Source organism: Homo sapiens, chromosome 10 (genome assembly GCF_000001405.40).
Source record: "Homo sapiens chromosome 10, GRCh38.p14 Primary Assembly".
In the NCBI taxonomy this organism is placed as follows: Eukaryota; Metazoa; Chordata; class Mammalia; order Primates; family Hominidae; genus Homo; species Homo sapiens.
The window spans coordinates 72851003-72872309 of NC_000010.11; the positions used below are offsets into that span (position 1 = coordinate 72851003).

Below are 21307 nucleotides of genomic sequence, written 5' to 3' on the forward strand. Positions count from 1 at the left end.
TGAGGAACCTTGGCAATAGTTATTCCTGAGTTGCAAACTAAGAAATCTAACGTTGACATTACAGTCTACTGTGTAGGAAAGAAGTAGGCATTGGGATTTCAAAAGCAGTATAATAAAGGCTTGTCAGCTCTGAATTGCATTATTCCTTGTAGAGTTTCTCAAAAGCTTTCTTATTTCATTCCCTTGAAAAAAGCATCATGCTCTTTAAAGGAAGAAGTTAAATTGGGTATGAAAGACCTTCATATTCTCTGTTGACTTTGTCTCAGTTATTTTAAAACAGTAACCCCTAAGCATTTACCTGTGAAACTGATGTTTTAGTGCATTTGTAACTGCCCAACAGCTTCTCTGTGCCCACTGCCTAGATAGAACCAATTTGTCAAGAGAGGAGAACTGCAATAGAGAAAGAGTTTAATTCACACAGAGCTGGCTGAACAGGAGACTGGAGTTTTATTACTCAAATTAGTCTCCCCAAATTGGAGACCAGGATTCTTCAAGGATAGTTTGGTGGGCAGGGGGCTAAGGGAATGAGTGCTGCTGATTGGTTGTGGATGCAGTCATAGGGGTGTGGAAAATGGTCCTCATGTGCTGAGTCCTCTTCTGGGTGGGGGCCACAGGAGCCTGAAAGGACATCTCAAAAGGCCAATCTTAGGTTCTACAACAGTGATGTTATCTGCATGAGTGGGTGTGGGGAAGTTGCAAATCTTGTGACCTCTGGAATAATGGCTTGGTGTAATCCCTTCCACTTACATCTTAGCAGAATTCAGCCTCCTCCCATCTTCCTAACCTGTTGCTCTTTCGTTAGTTTTTGTGAAGGCAGTTTATTTTGGGGGAAGGCATATTATTTAAACTAAAAACTAAATTTCTCCCAAAGCTAGCTAGGCCCAAGCCCAGGAATGACCAAGGGCAGTTTGGAGGTTAAAGGAAATATGGGGTTGGTTAGATTAGGTGTCTTTCACTGTCATAATTTTCTCACTTTTATAATTTTTGCAAAGACAGCTTCAAGATCCTCCAAATATATTTCAGACTCACAGATTCTATCTCGTATTTCAATTCAACTCTCTCTACTTCTTGATCTGTGGTTACTCTTTTTCACATACAGAAAGGGGATAATTGGATAATTTAATCACTAATCTTAATGACTTCGTCATCATTACTGCCTATAGAAAAGATAGAAATATTCTCATGTTAGTGGTTCTGACTTCAGGAAACAGTAGATTAATTGTTAAGGATTCTTTTAGAACAAGAAGGAATATAACAAATTTTAAAAATATCTTTAGGTATTGCAGACTTTAGATAGTACATGCTATATATTCAATTCAAATTACTATTTTGACCTCTTCTTCCTTAGGAAACAGACTATTCCTTTGGAAGGAAAAAGGCAATAAGGATTTCTGATTTTGCCTTTTAGTTTTTATGTAAAAATTCAAATCGTACATCCATGAAGTATTAGCTGCTATGGGAATTACTATCCTGCTATAAACAACTAGAACACCAGACAAAATATCTGAAACAACTGTTTTCAGACACTGGACAATAGGCACACAGGACTGTGATGCCTGAGATAAGAGGAACAAATGAGTTGAACCCTGCATTGGTTGAGTTTACAGCCTGAGGCGGCCTCTAAATTGCATCACAGAGAGGGGAAACAGAGCTTGGCCATCTAGTTAAGATGAAGAAACAGAGATCAGAGTTTGTAAATCCCAAGGCAGCTAGAATTTATGAGACAGAGGTTTACAGAGGAAGGAGCTATGAAGAGAAAGAGGAGTCTCGGAAATCTGCATAGGCATCCTGTGAGGCTTTGGCTGAATTCTAAACCACAAGACCAGGCTAGAACAACTTCCTAGAACATAACTATTGCCAGTAATATAAAATGAATAATTTTGCTTCCCTCTAGCCACAGTAGAGAGATAGCCTTGGACACATGAACATTTGGTAGACATTCTCAGAAGAACCATATCTTAGAAGTAGGGACAAATTGGTCCTAGAATAAAGGATTCTCTAGATCTGTCCTAAAATAATTTTTTGAAGTCTTGAAAGGGCCAAACTAACATGCAACTAATTTAACTATACAAGATCCAGCACTCAACAATGTAAAATTAAAAATTTCTAACCACCAATCAAAAATTACTAGGCATATGAAGAAGCAAAAAATAAGCCTTCCAAAAATTCAGTCAATGAACAGACCTAGAAATGTCAGAGATAATGGAATAAACAGCCAAGAATGTTAAAATAGCTATTATAAATATGATCCTTATGCTCATAGAGAAAAGGAAAAATATAAGTATAATGTGAAAAGAAATGGAAGATATAAAAAGAAATGCAACTTCTAGAGGTGAAAAATATGTCTGAAATGAAAACACCATATAGATGGAATTACCAGGAAATTAGACACTGCAGAAGAAAAAAATCCATGATGTTGAAGTATATTGCAATTAAAACTATCCAAAATGAAACTGAGAGGGGGAAAAAAGCCCCTGAAATGTATGAAGAAAGCCTCAGTGACCTGTGGGACAATATCACAATGGCCTAACATAAGTGTAATTGGAATCCCAGAAGGGTAGCAGACAGAAAAAAATAATAGTTGAATAAAGGTCAAAAGTTTTCCAAATTTGAGGAAAGCCAGATCTAAAAAATCTAACAACTCCCAACCATTCATAAAGAAAAGCAAAGCACATCACAGTCAAATTGTTGAAAACCAGTGATAAAAGGAAAATGTTGAAAAGCAGGCAGAGGGCTGGGCATGGTGGCTTACACCTGTGAGCCCAGCATTTTGGGAAGCCGAGGCAGGAGGATTGCTTGAGACCAGCCTGGGCAACATAGTGAGACCCTGTCTCTACAAAAATAAAAATTAAAAATTAAAATTAAAAAAATTAGCTGGCCCAGCACTTTGGGAGGCTGAGGCAGGTGGATCCCCTGAGGTCAGGAGTTCGAGAACAGCCTGGCCAACGTGGTGAAACCCTATCTCTACTAAAAATACAAAAATTTGCTAAGTGTGGTGGTGTGTACCTGTAATCCCAGCTATTGGGGAGGCTGAGGCAGGAGAATCGCTTGAAGGTGGTGAAGGCTACAGTGAGCCAAGATCACACCACTGCACTCCAGCCTGGGTGACAGAGCAAGACTCTGTCTCAAAAATAAAATAAATTAGCTGGGCATGGTGGCACATGCCTGTAGTCCCAGCTACTTTGGAGGCTGAGGCGGGAGTATCCAGTGAGCCCAGTAGTTTGAGACTGAGTAACCCATGATGGTGCCACTGAACTCCAGCCTGGGCAACGGAATGAGACCCTGTCTTTATTAAAAAGTAAAAGTTTTAAAAAGGCAGACAGAGGAAAAAAGACATAGAGGAACAAAGATAAGAATATACACAAACTCATATCATATACTATGCAAAACAAAATTTCTTTAAAAGATAATCAAAAGGTAAACCACACAAAAATAATGTGCAGTTTATAATATATGTAGAAAAACGTGTGAGAACAATACCACGAAGAATGCAAGCAGGGGGAATGGAAGTATTTGTTGTAAGGTCCTCTAAACTATACCTAAAGTGATATTATATTATTTGAAGACTGACTGTGATATGGTAAAGATGTATAACATAGAGCAGAATTCAGCAAACTATGACCTTCAGCAGTGCTCCTCAACCTTTTTGGCACCAGGGACCAGTTTTGTGTAAGACACTTTTTCGATGGTACCAGTCTGTGGCCTGGGGGTTGGCGACCCCCTAACCTACAGGCCAAAGCCAGCCTATTGCTTATTATAAATAAAGTTTGTTGGAACACAGCCATGCCTATTTGTTTACATATTGCCTGTGGCTGCTTTTGCACCACAGTAACAGAGTTTGTAGTTGTAACAGAGATCTTATGACCCACAGAGTCTAAAATATTTAATACCTCAGCCTTTACAGAAAAAAGTTTAGCAATACTTGCTCTAGAGTAATGCTTAAAAAAATAAAATAAGGGCCAGGTGTGGTGGCTTACGCCTGTAATCCCAGCACTTTGGGAGGCCAAGGCGGGCGGATCATTTGAGGTCAGGAGTTTGAGACCATCCTGGCCAACATAGTGAAACCCTGTCTCTACTAAAGAAAAATTAGTATGGTTGTGGTGATGGGTACCTGTAGTCTCAGCTACCCAGGAGGTAGAGGCAGGAGAATGGCTTGAACTCAGGAGGTGGAGGTTGCAGTGAGCCAAGATCCCACTATTGCACTCCAGCCTGGGCAACAGAGCAAGACCCTATCTCAAAAAAAATAAAAATAAATAAAATAAGGTATATTTAATAAGTCAATAGCAGAGATTAGCCTGAGCATTGTGGCTCAATACTGTAATTCCAGCACTTTGGGATGCTGAGGTGTGAGAATAGCTTGAGTCCAGGAGTTCAAGGTCAGCCTGGGCAACATAGTGAGACCCTGTCTCTACCCCCACCAAAAAAAAAAATTATCCAGGCACAGTTACATATGCCTATAGTCCTAGCCACTCAGGAAGCTGAGGTAGGAGGATCACTTGAGCCCAGGAGATCAAGGCTGCAGTGAGCTGTGATCACACCACTGTACTCCAGGCTGGGAGACAGATTAGGACCCTGTCTCTAAAAAAAGAGATTAAATTATAATAAATAGTGATTAAATGAAAAAATCCTTTTTAAAGAGATTAAAAGATAGTAAATCTAAAAATGGCAAGAATAGAGGAAAAGTAGAAGAAAGAACAGTAGGGTCAAAAAGAAAATAAGTAGTAAGATGGTAAGACTTATATTCAGCCATACTTAAATTACATTAAATGCAAATAATATACATACTTTAATTAAAAGGCAGAGATTGTTAGATTGGATAAAATAGCAAGACCCAACTATAAGCTTTCTACAGGAAACTCACTTTAAATAAAACATGGATAAGGTAAAAGGATAGGGAAAGATATACTATGAAAACATGTCACACAAAGGCTTGTATGCAAATAATCATAAAAGCTTTATTCATAGTAGCCAAAACCTGGAAACAACCCAGATGTTCGTCAACTGGATAAACAAGTTGTGGTGTGTCTATGCATTGACACCCTTCTCAGCAATACAAATGAATGACTACTAATGAACTAGTTAATTAATGAACTACTAATAACAACATAGGTGAATCTCATAATCATGCCAAGAGAAAGAAGCCAGATATAAAAGGGTCCATAGCGTGATTTTATTTATATAAAAATCTATAAAAACCTAATATAATCTGTGGTGACAAAATCAGATCAATGGTTACCCAGGGATTAACTGGGATGGGGATCAGAGAATTTGGGGGAATCATAGAAATGTTCTTTATTTTGATTCTTATGTAAAAACTCATCAGATTTCCATTTTAAGTAAGAATGTATTTTGTTATTTATAAACTATGTCTCAATTAGGTTTATTTCTTGAAAATTCAAATCATGAAAGATTTTAGTGTGAAGATTTTGTATATAATGTAGGCCTTATGAATTACTAGAATAGACAAGGAAATAAGATGTAAATGTCTACAACTACAACTATGGAAAGCTTGATGCATTTTGGATTTCCAAAACATTAATCTTAACATATGTTTGCTATAAACTCTTTGATTAGTAGGGATATAAATCCTTAGAAGCATAATAGAATGTAATTTTTGACTCTTACTTTATTTTTAAAAATTGTTTTTAGAAGCCAGGCATAGTGGCTCATGGCTTTAGTCCCAGCACTTTGGGTGGCCAAGGTGGGTCGCTGCTCAAGCTCAGGAGTTCAAGACCAGCCTGGGCAACGTGGTGAAACCCTGTCTCTAAAAAAAAAAAAAAAAAAAAAAAAAATAGCCTGGCATGGTGGTGCACGCCTGTAGTTCCCAGCAACTTGGGAGCCTGAGGCAAAAGAATCGCTTGAGCTTGGGAGCTCGAGTCTGCAGTGAGCTGTGATCATGCCGCTGCACTCCTGGGTGATAGAGCAAGATGTCTCAAAAAAAAAAAAAAAAAAAAAGGTTTTAGACATGGGGTCCCACTCGGTTGCTCAGGCTGGAGTGCAGTGGCACAATCATAGCTCACTGTAGATTCAAACTCCTGGGCTCAAGCAATCCTTCTGCCTCAGCCTCCTGAGTAGCTGAGACTACAGACACATGTCGCCACATCTGGTCAACTTTTGATTCTTCAAAGAAGCTAGTAAGGAAACATTATCATTTATGTATCATGTAATATGCTAAGTGTTTTAAATTATTTATGTATTTCACTCATTTCTCACAACAGCTCTGTGAGTTAGGGATTAAACCCCCCCCTTTTTTTTTCAGACAGATTCTCACTCTGTTGCCAGGCTGGAGTGCAGTGTCGCGATCTTGGCTCACTGCAGCCTCCACCTCCTGGGTTGAAGTGATTCTCCTGCCTCAGCCTCCCGAGTAGCTGGGACTACAAGCGTGCACCACCATGCCCAGCTAATTTTTTTATTTTTAGTAGAGACAGGGTTTTACCACATTGGCCAAGATGGTCTCAATCTCTTGACCTCATGATCTGCCCACCTCGGCCTCCCAAAGTGCTGGGATTACAGGCATGAGCCACCATGCCTGGCCAAAGCCCATTTTATATACGAAAAAAGTGAGGCTCAGAGAAGTTATATAATACACCCAAAATTACAGAGCCAAGGTTCAGTCCCATATTTGACTCCAAAGCCTGTTTTCTTTCCTCAGTGCTAACATCATCTTTAAATGCTCAGTTGCTTATGTAAAAATTTTTTATTTTAAAAATGCATTTTTAAAAAAATGTATGTGAAAATTATTCCAAAAGAGGGCTATTTTGATAGTTGTTCTACTGGGACCCTACAAATCAAGAATACTGAGGGAGAAAATAAGGAAATAGGCATTCTATGCTATACTTTTGTAGAAGATCCCTTCAATTTAATAGTTCATAATAAATTTTCCCTTCATAACATTTTGTTATAAAATCTTAAACATCTGAGTTTTGGTTCTGTCTAGCCAAGCTCATGAAGACATTCAAGAGAACATGAATTGTTTTTGATAGAATGCTAACTTATGACAACTGAAGAATGGCGAGGTTCATAAATTTGGAAAGGAGACCTATATTTCTCATAAAGGTTGCAGGCTGCAGGGTGGCCATTCTGACAGGCTGGGAAGTGTAGCCTCCATTCAGAAGCCAAAAACAGACACTTTGAGGAAGAGGCAAAAAGAACAGGATGCATGCTGAGCAGGGTGGCCAAATATACATACTCAGTACGCTATAGGAGAGGCCATGCATATTTATGAAAGGAGAAATGTGTGTATGCACAACTGATCTTCATGCCCCTTCATGGGTCCCGTGTACAAAAAATGGCTGCGTCAGCATGATCTGAGGGTGGAGTTTTCAGCTCTCTGGCATCAAAAGATGAAGCAGAGGGTGTGAAAACCCTCACTGCGCATTCTCTGTAGACTGGCCAGAACCACTCCACGGTCGGTGGCCTCTTGTCAGGCAAAAAAAAGGGGCAGTGTTGGTCAGTTAATTGGTTGATATCAGTGGTGGAGTCTTCTGAAAGGGCTAGTTTCTCTTAAGCCCTTAGGAAAGAATGCCTAATGGTGGCTAGCAAGGAAGGGGTATAATGAATTGTGTCTGACCTCCCATCCTGTCATGGCTGAGAACTTAGCTTTAAAGGTTTACCCTGGGGTCCCCTTGGCCAAGAGGGGGTCCATTCAGTCAGTTGAGGGGCTTAGGATTTCACTTTTGTTTCTCACTTATCAGCTTGGATATAATACTGTACTATATATACATGAATTGACTGTTTTGGAGTAAGAGTCTCACTTATTAGTGTACTTCTTGAAAGCTCTGGATCCCGAGAGCCACGTCCTACAGGCTATGAAGTCTAGCCCAGCAATCTCTGACTGCTTAATAAAATCTTGCTAAATGGAACCAGGGCTTGTATTCACCAATATCAAGAACTTCACCTGATATCCTTGGGAAAGCCTCTCCTTGACCCACTCAGAAGACAGTTCCTTGCCTGTTTTTTCATATCTGTAAAATGAGCTATGTGATCCATTTGATCTTTTATAAGCCAGTTCCCAGAATAACCTTCAACTAAAGCTAAAGGGCATGTTCTTAAACCTTCTTTGAAAACATTTTAAATCACACTAATAATAGACCCCCATGCAAGAATGGTAATAATGTGACTTTAACTTACATTGAAATCCAATTATCATATGTTTGTGGGTCTTTTTCATTCAGATGTTACAGTGGTTTATCAAAATGGGTTACCTGTGATATCTGTGAGGCTACCATCCCGGCGTGAACGCTGTCAGTTCACACTCAAGCCTATCTCTGACTCTGTTGGTGTATTTTTACGACAACTGCAAGAAGAGGATCGGGGAATTGACAGAGTTGCTATCTATTCACCAGGTATAGTCACCATCATTATTAATTACCATCTATCCCTCATTTCACCCCACACCATTTCTAGACACATACATACACCACACACGTAGCTACAAAAGAACCCTATACTGTTAACTTCAGAAAACTTTTTTCTTTTGCTTAGCACTTACCAGGAGAGAAAGGGATTTCTCTCCCAGTGGTACTCAGAGTATAATTGATCGGTTTTAGCAAATGTGTATGCACAGGGAATCTCATTCAAAAGCAGCTCACATATAATGCCATGAGCAAGGATGAACAATCAATCACATTTTATATTATTGAGACTTTTTATCATTACTTTCGGTGTAGAATAAATACTTCCAGTAGTTAAACCCTCATCTCTGGAAAGAAAAGTTTGCCAAAATAAAGAAGTATATAATTTGAAAAGAATATAAACTAAGGCACTAAAAATTACCATTTTATGTATTTAATTTATTTATTTTTTAATCTTTTTAAGTTTTTTTCCCATTGTGTTTTCCCCATTTTTACTTTAAAATTTTTCAAACCTGCAGAAAACTTGAAAGGTAAGTACAATAAATGCCCATTTACCCTTCACCTGGATTCACCAGTTAACAATTACCACATTTCTACTCATCTGGCAATATAATTAGTAGACCAGCTGGTGGATGTATAATACTTTGCTAACCCCAGCGTCTATCTCTACTGAATTATTGGCAACTAATCAGTGACTATACTGAAAAGTACCATATGTCAGAAAATTTTTTTTTGACTCAACCAGCTTCCATTATAGGCAGTATTAAGCCCATACAGCTGTCCCAGTGACCCTAGATTTCCAATGTACACCTATAGAACTATGACCATTAATTATTTCACTTGTTCATATAGTTCACAGGAAAAGCTGTTGTTAAATCTTCACAAACTTGAGTCCTAAAAACAGAGCTTCAACCTAAACTTTGTTTGCATAGGAAATGAGGCAAAAAGTTAACTGAAATTTTAAAAGGAAGAGGTAATTTTTAAAAACGATTTTGAAGATTGAATTTTCCTGACCATTCTTGAATAATTATGGACCTATGACAAGTTTCATTTGAAATTTTCACAGATGGTGTTCGCGTTGCTGCTTCAACAGGAATAGACCTCCTCCTCCTTGATGACTTTAAGCTGGTCATTAATGACTTAACATACCACGTACGACCACCAAAAAGAGGTAAAATAGTAACCTTGGTAAGGTCACAGAAATGTGGGAAGGGCTTTTGGAAATAACTTTATTTTTTTTCCTTGGGTAACCTTGAGAAACAGACAGTATTCAAAGAACACTGAAAGTTTTATATACAGATAGACACTATTTCAGTTGAAGAGCTCATTGAGTACTTGGCACTTGGCTAGTACGTCGACAAAAATCACTTCGATTCTGCCTAGATTCCAGAATGCTTCATTATCTGATATTGTCACTCTGTTTCACATAAATGAATGTCCTACATAACTGAAGCCCCTTCCCTTCATAAAGGCCAAAAGTCATACTACTTTAATAACATTGCAGGGGATATCTTTTTAAAATAAGCTATAGGCTTCTCTGTTCTCTTAAGCATTGTAATAAGTATTGAGCTTTTTTTATGGCTCAAGGTCAGCAATCTGAAAGTCAGTTATTGTACAATAATAATAGTTCTTAGGAACTTCTGACATGGTGCATGGTTTTTTGTTGTTGTTGTTTTTTGTTTTTTTGAGACAAGATCTCACCCTGTCACCCAGGATGGAGTGCAGTGGCATAATCACAGCTCACTGCAGCCTCGACCTCAAGTTATCCTCCTGCCTCATCCTCTCAAGCAGCTGGAGTAGCTTGGACTACAGGCATGTGCCACCATGCCTGGATAATTTTTTTTCTTTTTGTAGAGATGAAGTCTCACTATGTCACCCAGGCTGGTCTTGAACTTCTGGGCTCAAGCACTCCTCCCTCTCTGTCCTCCCAGAGTGTTGCGATTACAGGCATGAACCACTGTTCCCAGCCTGTATATGCTTTTATGGGAAAAGGAAAGGTGCTCTTCTCAGACACAAATTGTAAGAGGGCACCAAAAAACTCGGTAATCAAGATAAAGAATTGTTGGGTTTTTTTGTTTGGGTTTTTTTTTTTAAGAGTCTCACTCTGTCGCCCAGGCTGGAGCCCAGTGACATGACACTGGCTTACTGCAGCCTCCACTTCCCAGGTTCAAGCCAGATACGGGTTTCACCATATTGGTCAGGCTGGTCTCGGACTCTTGACCTCAGGTGATCCATCCACCTTGGCCTCCCAAAGTGCTGTGATTACAGGCATGAGCCACTATGCCCAGCCGCCAGGCTAATTTTTTTTTTTTTTTTTTTTAGTAGAGATGGGGTTTTGCCATGTTGGCCAGAATGGTTTTGAACTCCTGACCTCAAGTTATCTACCTGCCTCAGCCTCCCAAAGTGCCGAGATTATAGCCGTGAGTCACCGCACCCAGCAAGATAAATAGTATTTTTATGTACTATTTTAAAAAACCAGAGTTAATGCAAAAAATGCATGATGAACAAAATTTTAAATAAAGACAGAGTCAGTATTACTAATATTTCTTTTCATCCTAGCCTCTACTATGGCTCTGCACAGTACAATGCTAAGTAGCCCTCTAAAATAGCGTTTTGAGTTGTGTCTTTTTTTTTTTTTTTTTTGAGACTGAGTCTTGCTCTGTCACCCAGGCTGGAGTGCAGTGGCACAATATCGGCTCACTGCAAGTTCCGCCTCCCAGGTTCACGCCATTCTCCTGCCTCAACCTCCTGAGTAGCTGGGACTACAGGTGCCCGCCACCACGCCTGGCTAATTTTTTGTATTTTTAGTAGAGACGGGGTTTCACCGTGTTAGCCAGGATGGTCTCGATCTCCTGACCTTGTGATCTGCCCGCCTCGGCCTCCCAAAGTGCTGGGATTACAGGCGTGAGCCACCGCACCCGGCCGAGTTGTGTCTTTTTTGGTCCTGTTTCTCTATTTACCCTTAATATTCATTGTAACTCACTGCTGTTGTTAATGCCCCTTCCACCACTCCTTCCACCAGCCCCATAGGACAGCAGTTCCCAACCTTTTTGGCACCAGGGACCAGTTTTGTTAAAGATAATTTTTCCACTGACAGTGGGGGCGGGGGCAGAGGCAGTGGTTTTGGAATGAAACTTTCACCTCAGATCCTCAGGCATCAGTTAGATTCTCATAAGAAGCGCACAACCTAGATCCCTCACATGCACAATTTACAATAGGGTTTGTGCCCTATGAGATCTAATGCTGCTGCTGATCTGACAGGAGGTGGAGCTCAGGCAGTAATGCTCACTCACTGGCCTCCTCCTGTGCAGCCTGGTTCCTAACAGGCCACTGACCAGTACTGGTTCGCACCCCAGGGGTGGGGGACCACTGCTGTAGGACATTCCTTCTTTTCAATCCTGCTTTTAAGAATTGGGTTTAGGCCTGGTAAGGTGGCTCACACCTGTAATCCCAGCACTTTAGGAAGCCGAGGCAGGAGGATTGCTTAAGACCAGGAGTTTGGGACCAGCCTGGGCAACACAGTAGCAACCAGCCTGGGCAACACATCTTTTTAAAAAAAAAGAAAAAAAAAAAAGAAAGAATTGGGTCTAACATAGAAAAGTTCTGAGTGAAACCCTGTTATTAAATTCCTCTATAATCTGGTCCCCATCTACCTTTTAAAATGTTTTCTTTCCCTCCTACATGTTGCCTACTTTCTCTCCACTGTGTATTCCTTCATGGTTTCCTGAACTATGCCCCGTTCTTTTCCATCTCACTGTTTGCCCACTTTCCTCTGCCTAAGATGTCTTTCTTCCTAACCCCTGTTTTCTCAAGTCAAAATTGTCAATATTGACTCTTCCAATAAGCCTTTAATGATCATACTCTTTCTGTCTCTGACCCCTGACCAACCAAAAATGATTAATCTCTTCTCTGAATTTTGCTTCGTCCTTTTCTTTGATGCTGTGAGGGAAGGCACTGTGATTTTGTATTCCCCATTGATTCCTTCTATATTGAGTGAATTAAATGTGTTCGCTGGGTAGCATTTTGATTGTGCAGAGGCCATATTCACTTTCTTTAAGCTAAATGAGAGGGAGCTAGCTGGGAGAAAGTATAGAAAAGTATCCTTAAATAGAATGGAAAGATATTCTTTAAATACAGTTGATTGTTGAACAAAGCAGGTTTGAAAAAACTTGCAAACGAACCACATAACCTAGAAATATCCAAAAACATTAAGAAAAGTATGTCATGAATGCATGAAATATATGTAGATACAAGTCTATCTTATTTTATTTTATTTTTGAGACGGAGTCTCTCTCTGTCCCCCAGGCTGGAGTGCAGCAGTGCAATCTCAGCTCACTGCAACCTCTGCCTCCTGGGTTCAAATTATTCTCCTCCCTCAGCCTCCCTGTAACTGGGATTACAGGCACGTGCCACCATGCCTGGCTAATTTTTGTATTTTTAGTAGAGATGGGGTTTCACCATGTTGGCCAGGCAGGTCTTGAACTCCTGACCTTAGGTGATCCACCCACCTTGGCCTCCCAAAGTGCTGGGATTACAGGCATGAACCACCATGCCCTTCCTATTTTCTATCGTTTACTACCATAAAATATATACATATCTATTATAAAAAGTTAAAAATTATCAAAACTTATGCACACACTTACAGACCATGCATGATGCCATTTGCAGTTGAGAGAAGTGTAAACAAATGTAAAGATGCAGTGTTAAATAATATCTGCATAAAATTGACTCTGGTACATAGTATACTACTCTAGTAATTTCATAGCCACCTCTTGTTGCTATTGCGGTAAACTCAAGTGTTTTTAATATCACATACCACACAGTTTTAAAATGCTGTGTGGTGCTAATTATCTCCTCATGGGTAGTTCTTCTTTCTAGTAAATTGTCTATTGCAGTAAAAATTGATCTCCTGCAGTTCTCAAAATTTTTTTGTGTTTAGTCCACCATGGGACCCATACGAAGTGCTACCAGTGATGCTGGAAGTGCTCCCAAGAAGCAGAAAAAAGTGATATGACATTGCAAGAAAAAGTTGGATTGCTTGATACGTACCGTAGACTGAGGTCTGCAGCTACAGTTGCCCATCATTTTAGACAGATGATTTATCTTGTAAACAGACAATGTAAACTTACAATGTAGATAAATACAGTACAGCACTATAAATTTATTTTCCCTTCTTTATGATTTTAATGTTTTATTTTCTCTAGCTTACTTTACTGTAAGAATACAGTATATAATACATATACAAAACATTCATTAATTATGTTATTGGTAAGGCTTCTAGTCCAGGTAGGCCATTAGTAGTTAAGTTTTTGAGGTTTCAAAAGTTGCAGGGGGGTGGTGCCCCAACACCCCCGCCACATTGTTCAAGGGTCAACTGTAGTAAGACATTATCGAATCAGATTTTTTGAAGTTGGAATAATTAAACATGTAGATCAGGGACAGTTAGCCATTTATCAGCTATGCTAATGTGTTTTTCTTCTTTATTCCCTGATTCTTGGGCTAGAAGTTCTCTTTAAAATAACAGAAGTACAGGGCCTATTTTACAGAGGTGTGTTTTTGTGTAAATTACTTAGAGAGTTCATCTGTTTAGATTTTCTGTTGGTAACATTCTGAAAGTTCACTAATATATTCCTATATAAAGTATAACAATCAGGAAAGTTAAGATGTGAGTTTCCATGTATTATGTTGTCAAAAACTAAAGGTATATTAATCAATTAATAAATACCAACCATTCCTGTAATAACCGTATTTTTTAAACAGAAATGAACGTTTAGTTTTTTAAATAAAGCTTTTCTCAAATTGAATAAGAAAAGGCAGAAATTGAAAAAACAGGGGATTGTATTTGATTCCCTGGTGATTTGGCAGCCTAAAACAACCCGTTGCTTTATCTGTATCCAGGAACTCTGGAATATCTACCTTGCTTCTCTAGAAGTAAATTAGGGTATAAAGCTTGCAAGGGTCAAAAATCTGTAATTCATGGAAATAATCATAAATTGAAGTGTGAACTTAAGTAATTCAATAGCAGCATTGGTGTAGAATTTCAAAAGACCTTTTTAATGTTTAGATGCACACATCATAGCTCTCTTAGTTCTGTTATTTGCTAGTGAGAGATTATGCCATCAGCATCTCTCACAGAAACTCAATATGATTTTAAATCCATAAACAGTTTGTTTTCCTTGATTTTAAATTTAATTATTTTTCTGAGACAGGGTCTCACTCTGTCACCCAGGCTGGAGTGCAGTGGTGTGATCACAGCTCATTGCAGCCCTGACCTCCCAGACTCAAGCAGATCCTCCCACCTCAGCATCCCAAGTAGCTAGGACTATAGGCACATGCCACACGCCGGCAAATTTTTTATTTTTTGTAGAGATGAGGTTTCCCTATGTTGCCCAGGCTGTGTGGTTTTGTTTTTTTTTTTGTTTTTTTTTTTGTTTTTTTGAGATGGAGTCTTGCTCTGTTGCCCAGGCTGGAGTGCAGTGGTGCAATCTTGGCTCACTGCAAGCTCTGCCTCCTGGGTTCATGCCATTCTGCTGTCTCAGCCTCCTGAGTAGCTGGGACTACAGGCGCCTGCCACCATGCCTGGCTAATTTTTTTGTATTTTTAGTAGAGACGGGGTTTCACCATGTTAGCCAGAATGGTCTTGATCTCCTGACCTCGTGATCCGCCCTCCTTGGCCTCCCAAAGTGCTGGGATTACAGGTGTGAGCCACCACGCCCGGCCTTCCCTGGTTTTTAAACATAGTAAAGAAAATCTTTTTTTCTTCTTTTGATAAAATGCAAAATAGGCTCAAATTTTGTTTCTACCTTGTGTCTTTCTGTCCCTGGTTGAGGAAGGTATTGCTGGCGCCCAAGGTACCACCACTCTTTTTCAGCTGACTACAGTAAGAGAGTGGTTTGAAATTCTGTATTTAAGAGGGATGACATTCATTGAATAAGCATGTTCCATTCCTCTGCCCCGTGTTGCAACGCTTTAGTGAAAGGGCTAAATGGAGGAAAGAAATAGAAGGCACTAGGTTCAGGATGTTTAAGAGGAATAATACTAGGGTTTTTTTGTGTTTTTTTGTTTGTTTTTTGTTTTTGTTTTGAGGCTGGAGTACAGTGGCGCAATCTCGGCTTACTGCAACCTCTGCCTCTGGGTTCAAGCGAGTCTCCAGCCTCAGCCTCCCCAGTAGCTGGGATTACAGGCATGCACCACCACGCCCAGCTAATTTTTGTATTTTTAGTAGAGTTGGGGTTTCATCATGTTGGCCGAGCTGGTCTCGAACTCCTGACCTCGTGATTCGTCCACCTTTGCCTCCCAAAGTGCTGGGATTACAGGCCGCGCCTGGCCAGTACTAGGGTTTTATAAATACATGGGGAAGATGGAAGAAATCTGCTTTATCTAATAAAATAGTTCATGAAAGGGGACTGAGCTTGCAGGAGAGATTTAATATTGGTATAGTAGAAGCACTGTAATGTAGCTCCAGGCCTAGAAATCAGGAGACCTGGACTCTACCCCTTACTGTGACGTTCTGAACAAGTTACTTCAGCCTCCTAGAGTGCAGTTTCTTCTGGTAACTTTGGACAATTTAAAGCTATATGCAAATGTGAGCAGCAGCTTTGGTACAAGGAAGACACTGTTGATTGACATAGATGACTTTTGGAACTCAAAGTGCTCTTGCTTTTATGTTCCCATTAATTCAGCACACATTTACTGAGGCATACAAGATACCCAGCTAGGTGTTGTATCCCATTTTACTATATCAGCTCTTCTCTAATCCAATTTGCTACCTTCATCTGAATTTTTTCATTGATTGAACTTCTATAATAACTGTAGTAAAGGACATCCTTAAAGAATGTTTGAAATATGTGGTTAATTCTGACTGTGGCTTGTTTTGTTTAGAAGAGTGCTACCCTTATGCTGTACCTAACATTTAAAGTTAATAAGAATCTAAAAGAAAATTGTGCTTAAAAAAAATTGACAGCTTTAATCAGCAGAGTTTTTATTTGATTCTGAAAACATAATTTTTAGATTTCTAGAAATACATGCTACTCACAATAGAGGATATTGAATGAAAGAATTTAATCTTTCACCCTTTCAGTCGTTCTCATAACTTCATACCCTTTAGACCATGATACTGAGGCCCATACAGCTATTCTCTGTCTTTCATCAACAGGAATGAATAAAAGTTGGTATACTAGGGAGAAGAAGAATGAGGGTTAAGATTATTAGAATGGGCCGGGTGCGGTGGCTCAAGCCTGTAATCCCAGCATTTTAGGAGGTCGAGGCAGGTAGATCACGAGGTCAGGAGATCAAGACCATCCTGGCTAACACGGTGAAACCCCGTCTCTACTAAAATATACAAAAAAATTAGCCGGGCATGGTGGTGGGCGCCTGTAGTCCCAGCTACTTGGGAGGCTGAGGCAGGAAAATGGTGTGAACCCAGGAGGTGGAGCTTGCAGTGAGCCGAGATCGCGCCACTGCACTCCAGCCTGGGTAACAGAGTGAGACTTTGTCTCAAAAAAAAAAAAAAAAAAAGATTATTAGGATGATGGCATTTTTATTTATGCCTTTGTATTTGCAAATTTGAAATACTATATATTTTTCCCTTAGCACTTACTAAGGGGGAAAAAAATGAATTAAAATGGCAGGACTACAGATAAATTATTGTCACCATTTTAATAAGCATAATAATCAAATTGATTCTAAACCTCTCTACTAGTTTTTAACATTTGCTTTAATTTTGTCTTTATCTAATGAAGATCATTATTATTTGTATTATTTTTCTTAATGTTAATCATGTCCTCATTTGTAGCATTTAGACTTCCAAGAATATAATGGTAGATATTTATTTCAAATTTTTTGAGTTACCCAAATATGAATTTACTTTTTACATTTGTGGACAACTTTTTTGTTTTAACAAAAACTATTGGCTGGGCATGGTGGCTAATGCCTATAATACCAGCACTTTGGGAGGCCAAGGCAGGCAGATCGCTTGAGCCCGGGAGTTCGAGACCAGCCTGGGCAACACGGTGAAAACTTGTCTGTACAAAAAATACAAAAATTAGCCAGGCTTGTGGCCGGTGCACACCTGTAGTCCCAGCTACTTGGGAAGTTAACGTCGGAGGATTACTTGAGCCCTGGAGGTAGGGGCTGCAGTGAGCCAAGATCACACCACTGCACTCCAGCCTGGGTGATAGAGTAAGACTTTGTCTCAAAAAAAAAAAAAAAAGAGAGCTATTACTTTCCTTCAGTTTAACACTGAAGGTGAGATACCTATAATGGATGAATCTGCCTCATCTGATAGTCCCAGGAATAGCAATCATTTAAGGCATACATTTTTTAAAAAATGTAACTTTTGTTTCAGACCTCTTAAGTCATGAAAATGCAGCAACGCTGAATGATGTAAAGACATTGGTCCAGCAACTATACACCACACTGTGCATTGAGCAGCACCAGTTAAACAAGGAAAGGGAGCTTATTGAAAGACTAGAGGATCTCAAAGAGCAGCTGGCTCCCCTGGAAAAGGTAAAACTTCCAATCTCAGGTTTTTTACCTTAACCTGTATTTTTTCCAGAGCATATATGTTTCTGTTTTTTCTTGTAAGTTTTATGCAATTGAGTCATGTCAATCAAGTTAGTTCTTTAGTTTATGGGACTGAACCATAAAAAAGTTTAAGTCAAAGCTAAGAAAGGGCTTGAAAAGGAATCATTTGGAGCCTTGATAATGGACTTAGAGCTTTCAGTTCTAAATGCACTGCCCTTAACCAGATTTACCACCTTTAAAATTAAGATCAGAATAACTGCTGATCAGGAAAGGCTCTTGAGTATAGTGGATAATGATTTTAGCCAAGTTAAGAATGAATATTACAGTTGGCCCTCTGTTATCTGTAGGTTCTACATTTGCAGATTTAACCAACCTCAGAGAGAAGATATTTGCAGGGGAAAAAAACAATAAAACATAACAAGGCTGGGCGTGGTGGCTCACGCCTGTAATCCCAACACTTTGGGAGGCCAAGGCAGGCAGATCACCTGAGGTCAGGAATTTGAGACCAGCCTGGCCAACATGGCAAAACCCCGTCTCTCCTAAAAATATAAAAATTAGCCGGGCATTGTGGTATCATGTGCCTATAGTCCCAGCTACCTGGGAGGCTGAGGCACGAGAATCACTTGAACCTGGGAGGTGGAGGTTGCAGTGAGCCAAAATTGCACCACTGCACTCCAGCCTGGACGACAGAGCGAGACTGTCTCAAAAACAAACAAACAAAAAAACAACAACAACAAAATAACAATACAACAACAAAAAAATACAAATTTTAAAAATCAATATAATGACTATATAGCATTTACATTGTATTATAAGTAATCTAGAGATGATTTAAAACATATGGGAGGATATGCATAGGTTATATGCAGATACTATCCCATTTTATATAAGGGACTTTAACATCTATGTATTTTGATATCTTGGTTTGGGGGGTATCCGGGAACCAATTCACCACAGATACCTAGGGACAACTGTATATAGAATATTATGCAACTATTAAAGGGACTATATAGATTTAATTTGCCATAGAAACCAAATTATAAAATAGTGTGCATACTATGATCCAATTTTTAAATGTGTTATATATATACCTATACGCATTTATATATATACATACACAGAGAAAGAAATCAGAAGGAATACATTCCAAAATACTAGTACAGTAGTCGGGTTATGACTGATTTTTCTTTACACTTTTCTGAATGTTTACAATGAACATATGTTACCTTTATTTTTTTCTATGATATTTCAATTTTAAGAAATCAGATTATAAGGAGTAAGGAAGGGAACAAATACTCTTAGTATTTTGCATTTTCTGATTCCTGAAAAATAATTTTCATCATTTATAGATAGAATATTTACTGTGTTTCATGAATTGTGCTAGTATTTTACCTATATTTTCTTTTCTTTTTTTTGAGACGGAGTCTCACTCTATTGCCCAGGCTGGAGTGCAGTGGCACGATCTCGGCTCACTGCAGGCTCCACCTCCCGGGTTCACGCCATTCTCCTGCCTCAGCCTCCCGAGTGGCTGGGACTACAGGCGCCTGCCACCACGCCCGGCTAATTTTTTGTGTTTTTTTTTAGTAGAGACGGGATTTCACCATGTTAGCCAGGATGGTCGCGATCTCCTGACCTCGTGATCCACCTGCCTTGGCCTCCCAAAGTGCTGGGATTACAGGCGTGAGCCACCGCGCCCAGCTTTACCTATATTTTCTTATTTAATCTTTGGAACAACTCTTTAATGAAGTTAATGGTGATTTGCAGATCATCGCTCTGAATTGAGCTGCTTTAAATCCAGAGTCCATATTCTGCCCCTAGTATACCACTGGAGTTAAAACTGAGAATAGATTAAATCGTGTATGCAACAGTGAAAGAATATAGGTAGGTGTGCATTTCCCTCTTTCAGAGAAGATAATCTTGTGACTGGATGAAGACCTCTTGAAACTGAGTTATTCATGCCCATATTTCCACCCACTTCTAGGTTGAAACATAAAATACAAATGCCCTGAATAGTAGTTGTATGTATATATATTTTTTTCAAGGGGGTTTCATTCTGTTACCCAGGCTGGAGTGCAGTGGTGTGATCTTGGCTCACTGCATCCTCCAGTTCCTGGGCTCAAGCGATTCACCCACCCCAGCCTCCCGATAGCTGGGACTACAGGGATGTGCCACCATGCCCTGCTGATTTTTGTATTTTTTGTAGAGATGGGATTTCGCCATGTCGCCCAGGCTGGTCTTGAACTCCTGGGCTCAAGCAAGCTTCCCGCCTTGGCCTACCAAAATGCTGGGATTACAGATGTGAGCCACTGCACCTGGCCTAAGATATTTTATTCAGTGAAAACTGCAGATACTATTTAGGAAGACAAGCTATATTTACTAGAATTGAGACTTGTGTCTTGATGATGAGCCCTGTTTCTTTAGTGAACATAGAACAGTTTAAGCCTTTTTAGATTGGTTTTATGTCAAAATGCCTTATGATTATGTGTGCCCAATAGGTACGAATTGAGATTAGCAGAAAAGCTGAGAAGAGGACCACTTTGGTGCTATGGGGTGGCCTTGCCTACATGGCCACACAGTTTGGCATTTTGGCCCGGCTTACCTGGTGGGAATATTCCTGGGACATCATGGAGCCAGTAACATACTTCATCACTTATGGAAGTGCCATGGCAATGTATGCATATTTTGTAATGACACGCCAGGTAAGAATTCTCTTCAAGTAACTTTTTATGAGATAGTAATAAAGTTTTGATTGTCAAAAGAGTTCTTTTTTCTCATCTTCTAAAGCCAGTTTTCTTTAAGTACTCATCCTTTACACATACACACACATGTGCCACTTGTGTATTAGGCAATATTCTAAGCAAGTGCTGTAGATGGAGAGGTAGATATAAGACATGACTTCCACCCTCATGGAGCTCACAAACTATTAAGAAAGCCATGTAGACCATTAAATTCAGAGAAATATACTACAGTAAGGTATAGAATAAGTGGACAAAGGAGCAGAATGATCAGCTGTAGGATAACCTGTTCAGCTGTGTTGCTTGGCTTTTTAAGTACTGTGGGAAAAGTCCCATGCTTTTTATTTTTATTGAGTTTTTGGAATGGAGAATTGGTGATAACTAATCAAATACTTAAACTAAACTCAGAAATCCTCCTAAGTATGTTGAAAGGAAAGGTGTTGTTGTTGTTGTTGTTTCCATTATGGAAGAGAGCTGAGAATTAGATACCTAATTACTTAATACTCAAGTCTATTCTTTTTTTATTGATACATAATAATTGTACATATTTTGAGGGTGTCTGTGCATGTATACAACATATATACATGTGTAATGATCAAATCAGGGTAAATGGCATATCTCCCTCAAACATGTATTATTTTTTTTTTGTTGGGGACATTCCAAATCCTTTCTTCTAGCTGTTTTGAAATATCC

At 39.4% G+C, this 21307-nt stretch overlaps 1 protein-coding gene across 4 annotated transcripts in view; it reads left to right on the top strand.

Moving 5' to 3' along the window:
• The window catches only part of MCU (mitochondrial calcium uniporter), a 195552-nt gene that overhangs the window by 158860 nt on the left and 15385 nt on the right, over positions 1–21307 (top strand). For 3 of the 4 annotated variants that reach the window (NR_073062.2, NM_138357.3, NM_001270680.3), the window contains 4 exons: positions 8175–8345; positions 9421–9525; positions 17701–17861; positions 20375–20578. Coding sequence is in view for 3 of the 4 variants with exons in the window: in NM_138357.3 (NP_612366.1) it covers positions 8175–8345; positions 9421–9525; positions 17701–17861; positions 20375–20578 (641 nt within the window). In the remaining variant the exon portion in view is untranslated. Of the gene's footprint in view, positions 1–8174; positions 8346–9420; positions 9526–10676; positions 10775–17700; positions 17862–20374; positions 20579–21307 lie in introns of all 4 variants that reach the window. The other variant, NM_001270679.2, reaches the window with a different exon arrangement.